The 22,742-nt window shown below is 37.9% G+C and overlaps 1 annotated feature.

Annotated features, from left to right (window-relative positions):
• Positions 14,161 to 15,360: an enhancer, noted in NCBI's record as "MED14-independent group 3 enhancer chr15:36165880-36167079 (GRCh37/hg19 assembly coordinates)". NCBI's record gives its function as "activates an origin of replication core promoter dependent on BRD2, BRD4, P300/CBP and CDK7 cofactors, and independent of MED14, by STARR-seq in HCT116 cells {active_cell/tissue: HCT116}" and the evidence as "EXISTENCE:reporter gene assay evidence [ECO:0000049][PMID:35650434]".

The raw sequence follows: 22,742 nt of genomic DNA, 5'->3' as shown, positions 1-22,742 counted from the left end.
TTTAAGCCAAGTTCAAATATCGGTTTGGCCCATTGCCAATTTGTAGCACCTTAGCCAAATTATTTAGCTTCTCCAAGCCTCATTTTCTCCTTTTTCACACACAGGATGTATGAAATCTGAACTTTTTATTTTGTTTTTCTCTCATTTCCATCTGCTATGTTTTTCTTATGGAACTCTTCTGTTACCCCTTCTGTGTCCCCCTCATTTGAGAGTTTCCTAAATCCTAAATCCCTTAGGTCACATGTGCTTTGCTGTTCGACAGCTAGTTGTTCTGAAAGTAGCAGGACATTATGGAGATTGGGGAGCTTTTAAGTAAACTTCTCCCTTTAATCAGCACCCTACACACACACACACACACACACACACACACACACACACACACACACACACGAGGTGTTCATGTGTTTTTCCCTGGAATCATGCATACCTGTTTTCTAGAGAGACTATCATTATTCCTGAGGCCTCTGTTTATCCCTCAAATTATTCTAATAGCCAGAATTTCACCTAGGAAAGGAGGAGCAAATGCCACATCCAGGCATTTAAGAGAGCAAATACCGCATCCAGGCATTTATTTGGGAAAAGTAAAGCCTTTTCTTTCTGTTTATATCGCCCAGTATAGATCCTTATTACACAAAGTAGAATTGGGGAAATTATCTAAAAATAGAATGCATTTAAATGTCATGCTAATGGCACATGTATACATATGTAACAAACCTGCACGTTGTGCACATGTACCCTAGAACTTAAAGTATAATAAAACTATATAAATAAATAAATAAATAAATGTAATGCTAAGTAATATATAGCTGAGAAACACACGTTCACCCTACATTTCCTTATAATCTAGAATTCAAAATAAAAAAGGAAGTAAATTATAAAGAATTACTATCAATTGAAAGTAAATAAGACATCTTGAATATGGAAGACAATACAAAATTATAATTCAGTTTAAAGAAATTAAAAGATTGGATTCAGTCACATGTAGTAATTAAATCCCTAATGTGAGTATAGGAATATTGGAAGTTGAAATTGTATTGTGTTTTTTGCTGTAACAACAATCAAAATTCTTGTGGCCGTTTTAAGCTCAAATCCCTTTATTTTGGGTAAGGGAGCAATGCTGTTCACAGACCTCTCTAGAAGACATTTTGCTTCTAAATGCAATTTAGAGTGTTCATATAATCTGAGGCAAAGCAGGAAGTTTTTAAAGTCATTTTTGGGTAGGAGAAGAGTTTATTCCCATCTCCTTTTCTATCCATTTTAACCATTTCTAACTCTTAATTATAACCTGCTCTTAGTTATCCCAAAGACTTTTTTTTATATAAAGAGTACCATGTCTAGAATAACTGTTGACTTTCATTCTAATGGAGTTTTCAGCTTCTACTACACTAGCTATAGTTTAGGGAGTTATTTTAGAGGTATTTCTCTTATTATTCTCATATCAAAAAAGTATACTATAGACTTATATTAACGTAAGGATACTATAGATTTACAGCAATAAGCTTTCTTACAGTTTCACTAATTTCTCATGCAGACAGGCCTTTTTTTTTCTTGTTTTGAGATGGAGTCTTGCTCTATTGCCCAGGCTGGAGTGTAGTGGCATGATCTCAGGTCACTGCAACCTCCACCTCCCAGGTTCAAGTGATTCTCCTGCCTCAGCCTCCTGAGTATCTGGAATTACAGGCTTTCACCACCATGCCTGGCTAATTTTTGTATGTTCAGTTGAGATGGGTTTTCACCATGATGGCCAGGCTGGTCTTGAACTTCTTGACCTCAGGTGATCTGCCTGCCTTGGCCTCCAAAAGTGCTGGGATTATAGACGTGAGCCACTGTGCTTGGCCAGGATGACTTTTTTTCTTAATACTATGATTCCCCTATATTCTGGCAAGACCAAACTACACCATTTTAACCCAAAATGTTCTATTTCTCCTAACATTAGGAGATATATGATAGAATTCAATTTACAAACTTGGCTACATACATAACTACAACAAATAATATAATACCAAAAACATCAGTTACAAAAGCATAATATGAGTCATTTCCTGCTGAATGGAAGGTTTGGAAATCTGCCATATAATCTAATTTTTCTTGAACAGATCATCTGGGGGCTATCATCATGATTGTCACTAAATACTTTTACCAGAGACCCAAAGCTTATGCATTTAACAGAATGGTCTCTTCCAGAAGAACTGATTCTGCCTTTTATAAATTTACTTTCCAAAATGGATGAGAGAATAGGCACAAATACCATTTAATTCACAAATTATAATTTTGGGGTTTTTTTTCCAGAGCGTTGCTTTAAAAAATGTTTCTTTTTTTTTCATTTCCCAGTTTATATAATCAATAAGTTCTTTCTCTTTTAAAACAATACAATGTACATTGTTCCCGACTGCACATCATGACCAAAAAGAGAGTGAGATACATATAAAAATTTAGCAAAGCTATAGAAGCCATTGTTCATTTCAGTGATCACTTAATACTGAAGTTTCGTATTGGCTGATAGGCCGCCAAATTCTAGAAATTGTATGCAGGTAATGATGATAATAATGAGAAAGAGGAGAAGAAGGAGAATGAATGCACTTTGTATGAGTAGTTCACATATGTAATCATATTTAATATTTATACAAACTTTTTGAGGCAGATATTTTCTTCTTTTTACAAATGAGGAAACTGAGGCACAGCAAGTAACCTGTGTGAGGTCCCATAGTGAGTAGGTCCCATAGCCAGTCAGTAGCAGAACCAAGATCCTGAATCCTGGACTGTTTAATTCTAGACCTTTCATTCTCAATTTCTGCACTTATAAATTGAAGATATAAGAAATGCGCACATAGAAAAGTTCATGAACATGGCAGTAGAGTACTGTGGATCCATTAAAATACCAACTTCTAGAATAGAGAGATTACCCCAGGTCATGTTTTTTTTATGCCAATTGTGTAATGTGGGTATAACTGTAAAGGTGATTTATGAAAGATGAGAGTACAGTGAGCTGGCACTGTTACAACAGAATGTTTAAAGAAGGTGGAACTTGAGAATGAGCAAAATCTTTATCAGCTGAGATTGGAGTATAGGAGTTGGAGATGGTACACCAGAAATACACTGATTATGCACATGGGTAAAAATTGCACATATATATCTTTGGTGAAGGGATAGCTGTGAAACCATTTCAAATAGCATCCTAATCACTATTACATTATAATTTAATCCCAAATATTGCATGGGACATACTTGTATTAAGAAATATTTTTTATCGGAAATTGAAATTGGGGCATGTGCTACTTTTCTTTGCCAAATCTGGCAATCCTATATACACATTTACCTGATTTTTATTAACATCTAGCTGCTTCAGCCCTGCCCCCCACCCCACCACATACTGGAATATATATTCCATCAGCTCAGGAACCTCATCTATCTATCTTGTTCCCCCACCATATCCTCCATATGTAGAACAGTGCCTGGCCTTGGTATAATAGGTGCTCAATGGATGTTGTGAATGAAAAGGAAAAAGGTTTTGTATTAAGTATTTATTTGTTTAATTAAATTTCACAGTTACCATGTTTGATAGCAGAGGGACAGAAAAAGAAATTTAAGGTTGAATTGGATAATGAAGGATGGGGTGCAGGGAGGCAGTAGGTATGAAAATATAAACCTAGGTAAACTGGAAAGTAGAAAATGTAACAGCATAAACAGAGGGGCTTTTGAGAGATGGGTAAGGAAGAGGGGGCTAAGCCCTTACCTGGGAGGAGTGGGAGGGAAGAAAATAGAGTTTTATTAATGGAGATAGGAAAAAATGAGGGAAACAACACTGTTTTGTTGGTAATTTTAATGAAATAAGTAATGCAAACTCCTTAGAATTTTGGTTAAGGACTATAATTTTTAAAAGATATAGAGAGAGGCCCTTCTAACCTATTATGGATCTTGATGTGCATGAAAAATGACATGAGTAGCAACAGATGTTCTCCTTATAACTTTTTTTCCCCACAATACCAAGATGGATTAGAAATGTGCAAAACAAAAGATTCAAACTCACCCAAATTCTTCTAATTCTCTAACTGCAGTAACAGGGCTGTAACCAATTTTCCTTTTAAGTTTAAAAAGGGGGAAATAATTTTATCCAGATTAGTACTGCCATCTTTCAGCCCATGCAATATAATACTATAGAGTTACTCTTAAACTAAAAAGTCAAATTTAAGTTGCGGACACAATTAGGCTATTTAAACCATGGTTCTGATAGATGTATTTAGAAGTTTCACAACCAAGATAGAATAATGCAAATTTTCCCATATTCATTAATTTGAAAAGTCATATTTATTTAAACTATTGCTCTCGTGGTTTTTTCTTGTACATTTGGCATCTGCCACTCTTCGTCTATGGGAGAATCTAGCATAAGATGGCATCTGATTTAGCACAAAATGGTACATTACATAATTTTAAGCTTTATATGTCAACAATTTATGATGTTCGGTAAATGCCATCATGATTTCCAGATGCTTCACCACCTGAATCAGATTTAAATCATGGCAAAATCTTTGATACAGATGCTTGAGAAATAGAGAGGAGTACATATGTTCAAATATGTCATCTCAGCTCAAGCTCAAAGAATACCTTCTCTCCAGCCAGGCTGCCAGTTTGGAAATGCATTAGTTGTCACTTGTATGAGAGCTAAAAAAAAGTTGATCTCATGGAGGTAGAGAGTGAAGTGATAAGTTACCAGAGGCTGCGAAAGGTGTGTGGGTTGAAGGAGAGATGAAGAGAGGTTGGCCAATGGGTACAAACATACAGTTAAATAAAAGTTATAAGTTCTAATGTTCCATAGCAGAGTATGGTAACTATGGTTAGCCACAATATATTGTATATTTCAAAGTGTGTAGAAGAGAGAACTTGAAATGTTCCCAACACACAGAAATGATAAATACTTACACATTCTATGCATGTAACAAGATATCACATGTACTGCATGAGTATGTAAAAGATTATGTATCAATAAAAACATAGATCCTCCCCAGTGGGAACTGAATCCTACTCTCTGTGTTAGTGCAGCAACATTTACCTGTGTTAGTGCAGCAACATTTACCTGAGGGCCACCAAAGGGAATAGTTATCTTCATTGTCATAAGAAATACTAGTAGACAGAAATTAACAACTTAATCAAGTCAAATTACCAAAGAACTACCAAACAACTGGTTTGTGCAAGGTAAGGTGTCCTGAAGGTTACAAAGAAGTGAAAAATACAATGCCTGCCCCCAACGAGCCCAGAGCCCAGTTGGCAAAATGCCATGTAAAGATAACCAGGTTAACAGTACAATACTTAATGAGATATCAATTTAAGAGATGGTGAGAAGATACACATATATGCACTTTGACAATATATCACCACACAAATTTGAAATGAGAAAAGATAATGGTCAAAGGAGAAATGCAAGAAATGAAAAGAGAAGAGAAGAAAGATGAGAAATGGAGAAATATTTCCAGCTTCTGCCTACCCATGTGTTATAGAGTTCAGTGACTGCCCCATTACAAATTTCATTATCTTTACTATTTGATTTATAAATTTAAATTCATTTCTTGGTTTTATCATTGCTTGTGGTCAGTACTACCTACTAAGAACTAGTCTATCTACTAAAAATAAATTATAAAGAGTATCAAGACCATGTTGGATCTACCTCCTCAACCCAGCAGAGAGTTGGAAATACAGTAGGGGCTCAGTAAATGGTGAATTAGTTAGTTAACCAAATGGTGAAATACTATTTCTGGTCAGGCACAAAGCTGTGATCCACATATGTATACATTAGGTAGAATTTACCAGAGCACATTTTATAAAATATTCAGTTAGATGTACCATAGAGGGACAACTTCTGAGTTGAAATATATTTGGAAAACATACAATCTCCCTCATAGATATTCACCATGCATGTTAACATTAAGGGTTTAAATTGTGGTTTTATTCTAGTTCCAGAAAGGAAAAAGTTGCCAGGCAGCTAAGACACTTGAAATTAAAAAATATTTACTACCTTTGTTATGAATAAAATCGAGAAGGGAGAATTTCATAAAACATAAATCTGATTTACATATAATTATTTGGTACATATTTTATTGGTAATATGGTCATTCTATGGCATTCAAGGAATACATAAATCATAGAGTTTAGTAGCCTTTTTTGGCTTTAAAACATTCTATTTAATGCCTAAAATAAATTTCTGAGTTAGTAAAATCTTTAAAACAGTAATAAAATCTGGAAGGGAAATGTCAAAGGGGAGTTTCATGTACTATAGTTATATACACACTACACATATATGTGGGAGAGACCGAGTATGTGACAAGAGGTCAAGTCATCTTTGCACACCTGGATTAGTTGGGCAATCACATGAAATACAAATTCATCATCTAGCACAAATGTATGTGGGGCCATAATCAACATCATATAAACTTAAATAATTATGTTCTGCAAAGCAGGTACAGAATAGTCCCAATCATAGCGGTAAACATCAAGAAAGTCACTTCTTCTTCTCTCTTATAAATTTCATGAAGGAAGTCTTGCATTTAAGCTCTGTTGTTGCAATTAAGTGTGCTATCTGGATATCTTCAATTATCTTCTTTATTTCTGAAAACTGAATACATTGTTGACAATGACACAAGCATTTCCACAAATTACAAATTATTAGATAAATGTTCAATGGTGAGTGACTGAGGGTCTTGGGGCTAATACTTCAATGAATGAGATATAAAAGCAGACTCTTTCAGTTTCCTGACTAGCTGGTGAGAGATATTTTTATTTTTGAAATCCCTATTCCCCAGCTTAGTTCTTGTTATTAATTGTTTTGAGTGCTTTTTCAGAAAGTGTGACTCACTTAATTTTTAAAATAAACAAACCATGTCTGTTTTAGTTTTGTATTCCCAGTCCCTAGATCAAAGCTAGATATTATCCTAGGTGCTCAATATCTAGTCATATTCAACAATGAATGTCAATGGACCAAAGAGCAACTAACTTCTGGCTACCCATTCCATAATATTTGGGAGGAGTAGTAAAAGTTCTCTGTGATTGATAATATTCTCAGAAATGCACACAGCATCTTCCTGAGTTAATTAGGAAACTAGGGAGATCCTGTGTACAAGTTGCTTATCAGATATATTTTAGGGTTATGGTAAATGTTAGTGGAAGTTCCATAAAAACCATCTACAAATCTCTACTTCTGCTTAACTATTTAGATGGTGTAAAGCACGACAGGACATAGTACCCCAGTACCTCAAGACAGTGTTTACCACCATTATCACTAATGGAACATCATGATTGCTAAATCCCCAAAATCCTGGAGTATCTTATGACTGCACTTGCAGTCCATATGGCCTCAGTGGATTGCCATGGCACTGCCTGCTTTCACTTAACTTAAGCATGATTTTCCATTAAATGCATTGAGTTTGACAAAGTTTTATTTAATAAGTATTTTCTATGGGCCAAAATATCTGCTAGTTACTATACCTGACCAAGCATTTCTTCTTGAGAACTTATAATCTGGAATAGACAAAGTTTTAAAATGCATATATGTCATAAAGGAATATAACAGCTATATTTTTTCATAATAATGCAGCATAACAAAGCATGCCTGTACTGAGTGCCTTAAAAATATAAGCATTTATTTCCTCCATGAGTCTGTGGGTCATTTATTTAGGGCTTGGCTGTCCAGCTCTTCTGATCTCGGCTGAATTTGCTCATATAGCCAAAAGTCAGCTGGCTACTGCTGATCTAGGATGCATAGGCTGGGATGGCTGGGGTGATTTAGTCCTGCTCTGTGACTCTCATCCTCCAGCATATTTTCATGGAAATTGCAGAAGAGTAACAGTCAAACAAAAGTAAGCACAGGCTCTCAAGCCTGTGCATGTGTTGCATCTGCCAACATCCCATTGACCAACCAAGTTCACATGGCCGAGCTTGTCATGGGAGTCGGGAGATTACAAATCACATAGCATAGAGTGTGGGTACAGGATGGGATGACTAATCGGATCCATTACTTCAATCTACCACTGGGCATAACTACTATGGAGAAACACCAAGCAGGGGAAAGGGATAGAAAGTGAAGGCATCAGGTAGCATGATGCCTCCAGCTTTGTTCTTTTTGCTTAGGATTGTCTTGGCTATGCAGGCTCTTTTATGGTTCCACATTAAATTTAAAGTAGGTTTTTCTAATTCTGTGAAGAAAGTCAATGGTAGCTTGATGGGGATAGCATTGAATCTATAAATTACTTTAGGCAGTATGGTCATTTTCACAATATTGATTCTTCCTATCCATGAGCATGGAATATTTTTCCATTTGTTTGTGTCCTCTCTTATTTCCTTGAGCAGTGGTTTGTAGTTGTCCTTGAAGAGGTCCTTCACATCCCTTGTAAGTTGTATTCCTAGGTATTTTATTCTCTTTGTAGCAATTGTGAATGGGAGTTCACTCAAGATTTGGCTGTTTGTTATTGGTGTATAGGAATGCTTGTGATTTTTGCACATTGATTTTGTATCCTGAGGCTTTGCTGAAGTTGCTTATCAGCTTAAGGAGATTTTGGGCCGAGACGATGGGGTTTTCTAAATATACAATCATATCATCTGCAAACAGAGACAATTTGACTTCCTCTCTTCCTATTTGAATACTCTTTATTTCTTTCTCTTGCCTGATTGCCCTGGCCAGAACTTCCATTACTATGTTGAATAGGAGTGGTAAGAGAGGGCATCCTTGTCTTGTGCTGGTTTTCAAAGGGAATACTTCCAGTTTTTGCCCATTCGGCATTATATTGGCTGTGGGTTTATCATAAATGGCTATTATTTTGAGATACATTCCATCAATGCCTAGTTTATTGAGAGTTTTTAGCATGAAGGGGTGTTGAATTTTATTGAAGGCCTTTTCTGCATCTATTGAGATAATCATGTGATTTTTGTCATTGGTTCTGTTCGTGTGATGGATTACATTTATTGATTTGCATATATTGAACCAGCCTTGCATCCCAGGGATGAAGCCAACTTGATCATGGTAGATAAGCTTTTTGATGTGCTGCTGGATTCGGTTTGCCAGTATTTTATTGAGGATTTTCACATCGATGTTCATCAGGGATATTGGCCTGAAATTTTTTTTGTTGTTGTGTTTCTGCCAGGTATTGGTATCAGGATGATACTGGGCTACAGTAACCAAAATAGCATGGTACTGGTACCAAAATAGATATATAGATCAATGGAACAGAACAGAGCCCTCAGAAATAATGCCACACATCTACAGACATTTGATCTTCGACAAACCTGAGAAAAACAATGGGGAAAGGATTCCCTGTTTAATAAAAGGTTTTGGGAAAACTGGATAGCCATATGCAGAAAACTGAAACTGGACCCGTTCCTTAAATATAATACAAAAACTAACTCAAGATGGATTAGACTTAAACATAAGACCTAAAACCATAAAAACCCTAGAAGAAAACCTAGGCAGTATCATTCAGGACATAGGCATGGGCAAACACTTCATAACTAAAACAACAAAAGCAATGGCAACAGTAGCCAAAATTGACAAATAGGATATAATTAACTAAAGAGCTTCTGCCCAACAAAAGAAACCATCATCAGAGTGAACAGGCAACCTGCAGAATGGGAAAAATATTTTTGCAATCTACCTATCTGACAAAGGGTTAATATCCAGAATCTACAAACAACTTAAACAAATGTACAAGAAAAAAACAAACGACCCCATCAAAAAGTGGCCAAAGGATACGAACACACTTCTCAAAAGAGGAAATTTATGTGGCCAACAAACATATGAAAAAAAGCTCATCATCACTGGTAATTAGAGAAATGCAAATCAAAACCATAATGAGATACCATCTCATGCCAGTTAGAATGGCGATCGTTAAAAAGTCAGGAAACAACAGATGCTAGAGAGGATGTGGAGAAATAGGAATGCTTTTACATTGTTGGTGGGAGTGTCAATTAGTTCAACCATTGTGGAAGACAGTGTGGCGATTCCTTAAGGATCTAGAACCAGAAATACCATTTGACCCAGCAATCCGATTACTGGGTATATACCCAAAGGATTATGAATCATTCTACTCTAAGGACACATGCACACGTATGTTTGTTGCAGCACTGTTCACAATAGCAAAGACTTCGAACCAACGCACATGCTCATCAATAATAGACTGGATAAAGAAAATGTGGCACATATATACCATAGAATATTATGCAGCCATAAAAAAGGATGAGTTCATGTCCTTTGCAGGGACATGGATGAAGCTGAAAACCATCATTCTCAGCAAACTAACAAAGGAACAGAAAACAAAACACCACATGTTCTCACTCATAAGTGGGAGCTGAACAATGAGAACACATGGACACAGGGAAGGGAATATCACACACTGGGGCCAGTCAGGGGATGGGGGTCTAGGGGAGGGATAGCATTAGGAGAAATACCTAATGTAGATGATGGGTTGATGGGTGCAACAAACCACCATGGCACATGTATACCTGTGTAACAAACCTGCATATTCTGTACATGTATCCCATAAAATTTTTTAAAAAAGAAAGAAAGTGAAGGCATCAGGGAAGGAGCCAAATCAGGTGACATTTGAGCAGAGATTTGAATCAAGTGAGGTAGAGAGCTATGTGCATAGTTGGGAAAGAGAATTCCAGATGGGGGCAGTGAAGAAAAGTGACTCCAAATGCCATGAAGCCATCTTGTATTTGGTGTGATTAAGAGACAGTAAGGAAGGTAGAGCAGGGAGAGAGGAAGAGTGTGGCAGGAGATGAGAAAGGGAGCAGGAGGTCAAATGAACATCCAAGGAAAGACCAGGCAGGGCTTGTGGACCCTGGCAGGGACATTGGCTTTAATGATGAGTGAGACAGAACACCACTGGAGGGATCGTGAACAGAGGAATGACTCCATCTTAACTTTGTTTTTTAAACCTTCTCATTTCTGTAAGGAAGACCAATTTTAGGGAAGCAATGGTAGAAGCACAGAGGTCAGTTAGGAGACCATGTTCCTAATTTATCAGCAACATGATGGTTGATGAGTTACGAGTATAGTGTAAAGATGGTGAGTTGGTATGATATTTGGATACCTTTAAAGTAGTGATAAGAGGATTTACTAAAACTTGAGGCTGATGTGCTAGTTGAGATTACACATGAACATATACACATATTTTCAACTACTCATTAAGATATGTGCATAGTTAAAACAAAAAAATGATCATCCTTGTAGCACCTAAAATCATCCAGTTCCTCTAGAAGGTGGTACGTAAGGACTGCACCTTGGAAAATACTGTCTCTACACATTTAGATGGATCATCCAGGTTAAAACTCCAAAATGAATTAGATGGTCAACAATTCTTGGATTAAAAGTTCACAGACTATTAAATTCTATTGATGACTGAAAATATAAACTCAAATGACAAATTTGTTGTACTAGAACCTGGCAAATGGAAAATTTTCTTCCTTTGTTATTAAAAAAGCAAATGCTTTCTAAGTCTTTATGATTTCCCCATTATCACGGAAATTTGACATTGGTTTCTCACATCAGGGAATTTTTCTCAAAGTGTTTAATAACCTAGGCTTTATTTCCTTGATTTATTATGTTTATAACTTGGAAAGCTCCCAAGGTTTCTCCCTTGTAGGAACAGAAGTACACACAAATCTCAAAATAATAAGCACTTCCTACTGTAAGGAAAGGTGCTATGGAAATGTAAAGAGAACAGGGTACCACCACTTCCCAAGATTGTAAGACTCTCAATATATTTTATTCTTGCTGTCACTTTATTTTATGAAAATGAAAGGTACTTTTTACAGGTATTAAATTTTCATTTTGCCCCAGAAACAGTGAAATTCTCTATAAAAATTATAAGTTTCCACAGCAGCAACTTCATAAAAATGTATGATCTTGCCCCTCAGGGTGCCTCCTCACTTGTTTGAAATGAAAAGCTGTTTGTACTCATGGTTGGAAATACACACATCAGGAAAAATTAATCATGCAAATATTTGCAAAGCAGGAACAGTAATTGTTTGGAGCCTCAGCAGTGAGCTGCTGCACACCACCGCAGATAGGAATGTTGGAGGAGAACTCCAAACGACAACTCCTTTGGCCGAAGACAGCCAGGACAGAACGCCAATCTTACAGACTGGTAACTATCAAAAGCATCCTGGGTATGTTCCCTTAGGAATTGAGTTTTGACAGTCATATTGCCAAGTATTATTAGAGTTGAAATAATTTTTCTTAAACATCTGCAAGTGGCACTGTGGTAGACAGGATTTAAAAATTAGAACTGGCACTTTGGTATCAGGTGGCTATTTGCTCTGGCAATGTTCTTCCCTGCTGTATTTAAGGCATGCTTTTATGAGGCTTCTGATTTATTTTGTTTTATAGTTTAAGGAAGAAGAGGCACTATCCTTTATTTTTTGTAAGATATTTAACATACTAAAAGAAAGTCTAACTTAAAATGAGATGTAATTATTGTTACATTAAAGGATGAGGAAGTTGACTGGTCCTATTGGAAGAATTTTTTTTTTTTTAATTTTTTTTGAGACAGAGTCTCGCTCTGTCACACAGGCTGGAGTACAGTGGTGTGATCTCGGCTCAGTGCCACCTCCGCCCCCCAGGTTCAAGTGATTCTCCTGTCTCAGCCTCCCGAGTAGCTGGGATGACAGGGATGTGCCACGACATCCGGCTAATTTTTGTATTTTTAGTAGACATTGGTTTTACCACGTTGGTCTGGCTGGTCTTGACCTCCTGACCTCAGGTGATCCACGAGCCTTGGCCTTCCAGAGTGCAGGGATTACAGGCGTGAGCCACCATGCCCGGCTGGAAGATTCTTACCAACAGCATTGGGGAGGGCTTAATGGCCCTATGTAGGTGACTGGAATATGATGCTGTGTTTATCTGGGTGCTGGACATAAGACCGTGCCATGAGACATACCTAAGAGGCAAACAACTCCTCATCTATGTGTCCACCTACAAATCTCTACCATAAGAGACAGAAGTAGGAATAGAGAGAGTTAATGTGATAGCAAATCAGAGGTTCCTGACAGGACTGACTACACAGTGTGTGGGGCGCTTTACAAAATAAAAGTGTGGGACACTTTGCTCAGAAGTTTAAGAATTTCAAGGTGGCAGCAGCAGAGATTAAGCAAACACATGGCCCTGTGTGACTGTACAGGTGACATTTTATCAATGAAGCTGGCCCTGATTCTTGATATAAGGAGTGTAGGCCTCAAATAATTCTGTGGCATCTTTTTTGGTATTTGGGCAAAACAGCTACAGGACATCTTGTATCTGGAAAGAGGGGACTGAGAGACTACTCATTTTGGTGAATTCAAGAAATGTATCTAGCAGTGCTTTCTGAATTGAGTATTTTGAAAACTATAGAATCTTTGTGTATTATTATTCAGTTTCCTATTTAAAATAGTCACCTTGGAGTAGGATTAAAGATAGGCTTAAATTTATTTAAGTGTGAGAAGTCTCCTGTATCCTATTTCTTAGAACTTTGAAGGCCAGGAGCAACTGCTAAGTCATCCAACAGCTTCAACTGCACCTGTGGTCATAATAACAATAAATACCATGCCTAAGAGAATGGTACTAAGACCCCTCCCTTGCTTCCCCTGATCCCAGATTTTCTCAGCTTGAAAAATTCTATGTAAATATATATTACTCATTTATGGTAGACGTTCCAAAGAAAGCATGAGAAATTACCAGAAACAATATAATAAACAACTCTTCAAAATAAAATAACACGAGAAAAAAGAAACAGTATTTTTAGGTATGAACTTTTTGTTTTTACTAAGTAAAACCTTCATTTACTTTCTGGTTTTCTTTTAGTGATGATACATGATTATTTCTTGAACATTCAAACCACTGAACACTGTCATACAATATATTCCCATAATTATAGTGATCGCTGTTTACAATGATCAAACTTCCTTGATGTGACAATGTCTGCCAATTTTTGAAGACAGAAAGGTATTTTGCTCTTTCATGTTGAGTCAATAATAAAAAATAAAACACAATTTCTCAATCAGGCTCCCCTTCACAAATCCAATCAGCTCAGGAATACTCTCACCTAAAAAACCAAGATTAACCAGAAATCCTTGAGATGACCCCCTCATCTTCCTACTGGGTCACTCAGTGTGTCTTCAAGGCTGACCATGATGACCAAGTTGTGCTGTTTTCACCCACATAAAGTGTTCCTGAAGGAGGGGGAGGAGATAGTGAGATGTTGCCTTGGTACCCACCTCTGGCAACACTCTGATCATGGTGTCAAACAGATTTTGAACAGTCAGCTCTCCATTATCTGCACTGTCAATCTTCTGCTATAAATCTTGTTTTCAAGTTCTGCTGGGATAATTGAGCTTGATATATGTGGGTACAGCTAACTATCTTTTGTTTATTTTTGCCTTCCCATGCAGCCTGCCACCCAGCAGGAGGCCCTTCAAAACTCAGTCAACTACCTTCACCAACCCAGGAAATGTGTGACAACTAAATATAGTCAAATCAAGGCAGCAGCAGTGAGTTCTATTTTGGCTGATTCATCATGTGAACCTATTATCCTTGGGATAGAGTCAGGTGGAGGGAGTGACTCAGCATTTAAGGAGTACAGTAGAGAGGTTGCACAACTTTCAGCTTCTCTGACTGACATCAGTGCATCATCAAATGGCTTCCTGATGGAGTTTGTTGTTCAGGCTTGGCTCCTGCCAAGAACACACTGCTCACTTCAGAAGCAACAGAAAGCAAGAAGGAAGTCACAATATCTAAGATTCTACTAGTTTCACAAGCATTATTATCAGAAACTTCCAAGACACATATACAATTTTTTTGCACGTGATTTTCACTTGTATTAAGCTCGTAGATGACCTCTTTTTACTGAAGATCACTTATTTCAGCCATTGTAATTCTTCATAGGATACTGGTCTGAGTGGGAAAAGCTAAAGAGCTAAAGAGAATCAGAAGGAAAGAAGGAGTCTCAGCCAGAGGCCTCAATGTCCATTTCCCATATGTGGAAATACCAGGCAAGTAGCCCCTGCTGTTTAAACCACTGATGCCATAGGGTTTTGGCCCTTTCTGCAATGACCGCTTAGAAGTTAAGAACTTAACTTGCTAAAAGTGCTACAAATTCACAGAACATACATTGTGAAGCCACATGATACTGGATTATCCTTGGTGCTGCTCCCTTCCAATTAGCCAGGTAATCCAACAAAGACAAAAATACATGCTGCCTGGCAAAGGATCTCGTCCAGGAAGAAAACTAACACTAGCACCATAATAAAGACTTGACTTTATCCTGACTAATTCACCTGAAATCCATTTACATTTTGATATCTTATACTGAATTCATTTTGATATCTGAAGGCTTTTATGTCTCTAGGGAATGTCAAATTAGCCCTGAGGAAGGGAAGTTCAAATCACAGAAGACAGTGTCTTTAGTCCAAAATGTTATGTGCAATGTCTTGTGCCTCCCACTCACCATTATTTATGAGACAATACACTTTAAACTTGCTAAAAATGGGCCCGGCATGGTGGCTCATGCCTGTAATCTCAGCACTTTGGGAGATCAAGGCGGGTGGATCACGAGGTCAGGAGATTGAGACCATCCTGGCTAACACAGTGAAACCCCGTCTCTACTAAAAATACAAAAAATTAGCCCGCGCGGTGGCAGGCGCCTGTAGTCCCAGCTACTCGGGAGGCTGAGGCAGGAGAATGGCATGAACCCGGGAGGCGGAGCTTGCAGTGAGCCGAGATCAGGCCACTGAATTCCAGTCTGGGCGACAGAGCACGACTCCGTCTCAAAATAAATAAATAAATGAATAAACTTGCTAAAAATGAGGAGACAACGCTAATCATCCAAACTAGACCTTTCTACTGCAGAGCAGAACTTTCCTATAGGCAATGCTGCAGACTTCTGAAAAGTTCAGGGACCCCTCAAATTAATAACATCAAAGGAAAATAGAGGCTTTAATCCTTTATTTTGCCAATCCAAAAGCATCAGATGGTATAGCCATAACTCTTGGCATCAACAAGGACTGTACACTTACCTACTCTATCTTGTTAGGACTTTTTTGGTCTTTCATATGACAATGACTTGCAATAGGTAATCACTGTCTTCTGGCAGGGAGTGAGACAGAAAAAAGGGGAAACAAGCCCCAGCAATTACTGTGCAGTACTCAAATCTGCCTGCCAACAGGAGAATAGTGATTTGTGAGACATATCAAGAGGTGCTGGCAAGATCAATCTGTGGAGATCCCTCTGATAGAGGAATAATGAGTTGACAAAGACCAGTGTTCAGTTGGGTCCAAGCCCAATAAGATTACTGTTCAGCATCATCAATATTGTCTCTGTTTGGAACTGACACAATCAGACTGGAATCAACTGTATTTTCCACAACACTGTCACACATGATTTTAAACTTTGGCTCACAACTCTAGAGGAGCTTGTAGATGTTGGCAGATTTTTGCCAACTTAAGGGATGTCATTATTAAGTAGGAGTTTCACCCCACAGTAATTTGTGGTTCTGTGTTTCTCTGAGGTCTACGTACTGAAAAGAGAAGACAAGGAGGAAGAGATGGAGGAGATAAGGGATTAAGAGATTTTTTTTTTGCTTAACCCCTCCCCCTTTTTTGTTTTTTTTAGTGTAATGACCAAATACAACATGTAAATGTGTAGGCTATTTCTTAGCGTCAGCTTAATTTAAGTTGGGGATCAAAGATTTTTCCTGAAACATAGAATCATGAAAATTTTTCAGCTCTGAAGCAATATAACAATAAAATTGTTATGTTTCATCATCAAAAGGCAGAAGGGATAAGTAGATGGCTCTGTCTAGAAAATATTAGAAGTTGTTCAAGGAGTTGGAAAATCTAATAAGCAATTTGATTCTTAAACAATTCCTGCAGTCCCCTCCAATGTGTTTTATAAGCCATTACTCCCACTACAGAAAGCTATCAACTTCATGTTTCCTGAGATCCATTTATTCAGCCCTGCCCATATGGCCATCCCAGACCTCTGATACTAGCCGAGTGATATAGCCATCCAGAAGCACCATGCGATACATGGCCACAGAATTAAATCCTGTGTAATTTAATAAGAGACAGGGCATGGATTTCTCTTTTGCTACAGGCGTACAGAACAATGACTGCTGGATCTTTCCCACTCTCCATCTAAATGTAAACTCTGTGAGCAGCAAGTGCTATAGAAAGACAACCAAATTTGCAGTGCCAGACTCCCCAGATCAATAGGTTTACACTTTACTCAACAAACTCAGGTCTTCAGACCATATTAAAACTGTCAGTAGTCCTGTCCCACCAAACTAATCACAGTCACTATAGGGTCTCTCACCCCACTTCAGGATGACATCAGTATTCTGTGATTTCATGCAAAGCAGACATTTACAGCGGTCTTTCTGGTCTGTGATTACCACCACTGACTATCTTCAAGCCCATGTGGTCCCTGAGAGGCAGGCTTGTGTCTATCTTCTTCAGCAGTATATCTTTGTGGAATTTGGTACCTTGGTAGCTGTAGCCCAGCCTTCTTAGGTGAATCACACCTAAGTCATTTCCCTTTGAAATCCTGTCTTCCCACCCTTAGGCCCTGTGCAGAAGGGGAAGCACCCACCCCAAGGTACCCTAACCACTGCTGCTTTGCCTCATGGGGAAATCACCCTTTCCTTTTCCTCCAAGGCTCTCACTTCTCTCCATTTCCTTGGGATAATCCCCTCAAAGAGTTCAGGTTAGAAAACAAAGCAGAAAAGGAACCTGTCCTTGGGTTATTTTTATTTTAACTCCATCACAAAGGGTCCCAGAACAAAAAGGTGAGGTTACCACCTCAAGGTGGGGTTGGAAAAATGAGAACAAAACACAAGTTAAAATCTCAACAAAATATTCTGTCAACCTCCAGCTAGGTGGCCTTGGAAAAGTCCCAGTAAAAAAAAAAAAAAAGTGCCAGTACCTCTAAGCCTCATCAAAATTTTAGATCTAAAAAAAAAAAAAAAAAAAAAAGAAAAGAAAAAAATATTTCTGGGGATCAAAAGAGGGCAGGCATGTGAAAATTTTTTTTGATGCTAAATATTAGTGGTAGCAGTTATTCTTGATTTTGTAATTTTGTAATGCCCCTTGCATAGCAGATACCAATTTGCAGCTGGGAGATGAAAGAGAGTCCAGTCTTCCATACACTATTTCTTACGTAGTTTGGATCTGGTCTGAGCAGACTGCTATACTGAGTTCCATGCTAACTAAAATCCCTGGAGACTTTGTAAAGGCATCACTTTCAGCACTCCTCTGGCTGACTAAGAAATGCCAGTGGCTCCATTAGGCAAACTCCCATAGGAACATCTCCATTCTCTGGGGTTCTCCCGACATCAGCTTGGCCTTAAAGATTATGAGCATCTAGGGAAGGAGTGGGGAAATGTCAGTGCGTGTGTTTGATTTGAATCTGTGTGTGCAGTATTGAAGACTTGAGTGTCCCTAAATGGTATTTAAATAAATGCCAATGTTCAGGGCTGGCTTTATATATAAGTGGGTTAGGCCTCTACCTATTTGACTTAAACACACCAAAGCATCCTCGGCTGGAAATGGAACTCCTATCAGGTAGTACTCCAGCCCTAGAAGTACTTTCTTTAAAAATGTTGAATTTGACTTGGTTAAGATATTGCTTCATACTTTCTTAGATAGACAGCAGCAAGAGTTGGCTTATCAGACCATCACACACCAGGATTTGGGGTTTTAAGAGTCAAGGAAAGAGGAGTAGTACATTATCATATGAAGGGAAGAGAAAGTCAAAGCACAGATGGGGGAGGGTTTCTGGTAGGTGCTGAGTAAAACAGGTAGAATATCAAAGCAGAAGGCCTTGTGCATCTAGAAGACAGGTAGTGGTCCTGGGAACTAGGTAGGAGAGCAACAAAGAGAAAGTGCCAACCAAAGACAAAAAGGAAAAACACAAATTATTTGTCTGTGCCACAATTGCTTGGCAAGGTCTTTCCCCCATTCACATTTGATTCCACTGAAATTGATATCACAGACATTTATTTTTTACTCATAAAAATATGACAAACATGACCTGAAAGGCTCCTCTAACACTAGGAACCACCTACTTGGTTTGTAGACCTTGTTGGTAGTTCAGATCCACCATTTATTAGCTATAGGCTCACATCATTTACACTCTCTGAGCCTCAGTTTCTTCACCTGGAAACTGATGATAGTAGTATCTGTAGGGATAGGCAGAACAGATCTAAGTACAGATCTCAGAGGTCCAACCATTTACTTTTTAAATAGTATCATAGGAGAAGCAGCAACAGATCCCTTTCCACAATTTTCCGGCAATAACAGAAGATAAATTATGTTAACCTGTAAGTTAACTTGTGACAAAGGTGGCATCCATCCTAAAGCAGGCCAGGCTCATTATTCTAGGTCTGTCTCCTGCTTAGAGGATCCAAAGTGAAAACCACATTTTAGAGGTTCCAGTTGCCTGTCTAATGTGTTCCCATGGGCGTCACATGTTTTTTTCTACAAATTCAATTGATGGGCAATTGTGATGAGAACCCCAAGGAAGATACAACCCCTACAACATGAACTGACATTTACAAATGTTCCTTTACTTTCCACCCTTTTCTGCTTTTTCCGATTCTACTCAGAATTGATTCCACACTAAGAATTGAAATCAGGGCTATTCAGTGAATCACTCTGTTCTTTGCTAGAATGGTGGCCTGACCCTCTGTAGAGTCATTCTTAAATTACAAGGTTTATAGGAAGCAACTGGAGGAAAAACAATTTAACACAGATGATTCCTGAGGTCTTTCAATATGTCCAGTCATTTTTCCTGTGAGCTTTCCAGAAAATACTCTAGACTTAAAGATTAAGAACTACATATTTCCTCTTCATCCTTGTATGTTGCAATTCAATTTTATCATTTTCTACTCAATATGCCAAATCTCATGACCTGAATAGATAGGATTTGGTGTTGTTTTCTGAAGGTAAATGGCAAGATATCATTAAAGAAACTTTTTCAGAATTATTATATCCTTAATAATACTCTAGAACCTCAGTTTTACCAAATTGTGCAAGCATTATAATAAAACATGTCTATATGTTATATACAAGGAGTCAAAATTTTATGGAAAATGTGTATTATGAAAAAACTATGCATGGATTTCAAAATTTTTTACATCAAAATAAACTCATATTAACTTGTTAAAACATGTCTGAACAAGATCTAGCTTGAGGCATTGAGAAGGCTAAGACATCAGTTTGAAAAGAGTCCCTATCAGAAAAACATGAATTCTGCTAAAATCGAAGCAATGTTACCAGAAAGGGGTCCCCCCGATCCATACCCCAAGAGAGGGTTCTTAAATCTTCCCCAAGAAAGAATTCAGGGTGAGTCCACAGAGTAAAGTGAAAGCAAGTTTATTAAGAAAGCAAAGGAATAAATAACGGCTACTCCATAGATGGAGCAGCCTTGAGGGCTGCTGTTTGCCCATTTTTATGGTTATTTCTTGATTATATGCTAAACAAGGTTTGGATTATTTATGCCTCCCCTTTATAGACCATATAGGGTAACTTCCTGACATTGGCATGGCATCTTTAAACAGTCATGGTGCTGGTAGGAGTACATGTCTCACAGGAATTCTGTAGGACTAAGTGAATTAATGCATGTGAAGCACATGGAACAATGTTTGGGACATGGACGGCAACAATTAATGTTAGTTATTTTATGAGAAAATATAGATGCTGTGTTAAGAAATTAAATACTTTATATATGGTGAAACTTCATTATGGATATTAAATGTTATTATTTATTAAAACCCTAAATTAGGTTTTAAAATTAAAGCTGCTAACAAATTACATTTAAATAATTTAAAGCCTAATAATATGGAAAAAGATTTCTAGGAGGGGTGTATTCACAACTTTTGAAAGACTATTGAGTTATTTCAGTTAATTGGGACAGAACAAAAGACATTAGTAAGAGGATAAAGCAAACTAGGAACCACAAAATGAAGGGAATGAATTGCAGACTTTGAGACAATACACATCTGGTGAAGGGAAATTCAATAAATGAGCATTTAAACAGGCATTCAGGAGTCTTACATAACCTAATGCAGAATACAGGATGATGGTTCAAGACCTATAATCAACGAGATAAGACAATCTAGGTAATGGTGATGTATTTATCATCTTAGCTAGATAAGCACTGGGAGAGATCTATGAGCAGGTAATAGGGAAAAGGGGCCCAGCCTAGAGGTAAGATACAAAATCAAACTCCTGACATTGGAGAGAAAGTCTGAGGAGAACGAAGCGTATAAATATTTTTACAATATCACCACAGGAACTCAGGTCTAGGGAATAATGGAGATCTAGTCATAAGAAGTGGAGCATAAATTGGTGGCTAGTTCCTAAGCTAGTGGTATGCTCCAGGGGAAAGATCCGATTTTCAGGGTCTGTGAGTTTCCGCAGTATAAATGCTCTCAACGTGGCTGACTGTAAGCTACTTATGTGACATCATCTAGCTGGAATTCCTGAGAAATTAACAATTGGCTCTCATGAGCTGGTATAAGTCAACTCCGTTATACCTGGAAGCCTGGTTTTCAAAATGTAGTCAAAAGGTTCAGACAGGCAAGGAGTTAGAATTTCAATGCTGAATCCCCAAGTGCTAAGCTAGAGCTTCTTCATTCCTCCTGCCAAAAGTCAAGTTTGATCTTAAAAAACTAGACAAGGCTGAGCTTTTAAAATGGGCAATCAGGTAGTCCCACTAAAACTAAATGAGCAAGCCTGAGAAAATCTGGGCTGACTCCCCTACAGCTGCCCCCATACCTGCATAGTTTGGATCAGAAAAAGTGAATCCGTGTAATCCTTAGCCACCAACACTAGCTGACTAGCCAGTTCAGGCTCAACACAGAATATCTTGATTAGCAGCATGGACTACTGATTCCATGACAGAAACTGAATTGATAAATGCTTTTTTAGGAAAGAAAACGCTATTTCATTTTTACTCTGATAAATGATCCCACTCTTCCAGAATAAAGTTGAAGAACAACCAGTGACAATAACGTTAATAGTTAGCATTACTTGAGAAAATGCTGCACAACTGGCACAGTTCTAGGCTCTTTACTTTTATGGTCCACACTAACCCCTATTGAAGTGGCTTCAATCACTATTCCCTGGAGCCCAGAGCCTCTTAGAGATGCCTGGGGTGGGGTGGGGGGTCACTGAGGAGGGAAGAGAAAACCAAGGTGCTGGGGCTTTGCATTCTCACTTTCACTTAAGCAGAGTGGCTCCACTTTCATCTGTTTATGTACTGAAGTTTCATGGAAGATTTCTTTCCAAAAAGGACCTCTACTGATTTTTTTAAATTGAGAACACTAAAAACCTCAAAGTAATCCTATAATTTCACTATTTCTTGCTATAAAAAATTTTAAAAATCTAAGATAAAAGACACATAACATTTCCTATACACAGCTGTACCTCCCTAAGGTTATTTACCTTCCAGAAGCTTTGAGTTGTTTTTATTATGTCCACTTATTAAGGTAGATTTTACCTTCTATATTTAACATCTGAGGAAATTTATACTTGCCCAGAGTATAAACAGATGAGCAGGGATCCTAACTGAGGTTTTTCTCTTATGTTCGTATGGACAAAAATAGGCAGTTACCTCTTATTCCTTCATACAAAGACCATATAAATTGGTCCCTTTGTCTTTCTGTGAAATCCAGTGGTACAGCTAATGATGACATTCACCTCTGCCTAGTCTACCACTTATGTCTAAG

Source organism: Homo sapiens, chromosome 15 (assembly GCF_000001405.40).
Source record: "Homo sapiens chromosome 15, GRCh38.p14 Primary Assembly".
Lineage (NCBI taxonomy): Eukaryota > Metazoa > Chordata > Mammalia > Primates > Hominidae > Homo > Homo sapiens.
This window is presented reverse-complemented; position numbering and strand designations above follow the sequence as displayed.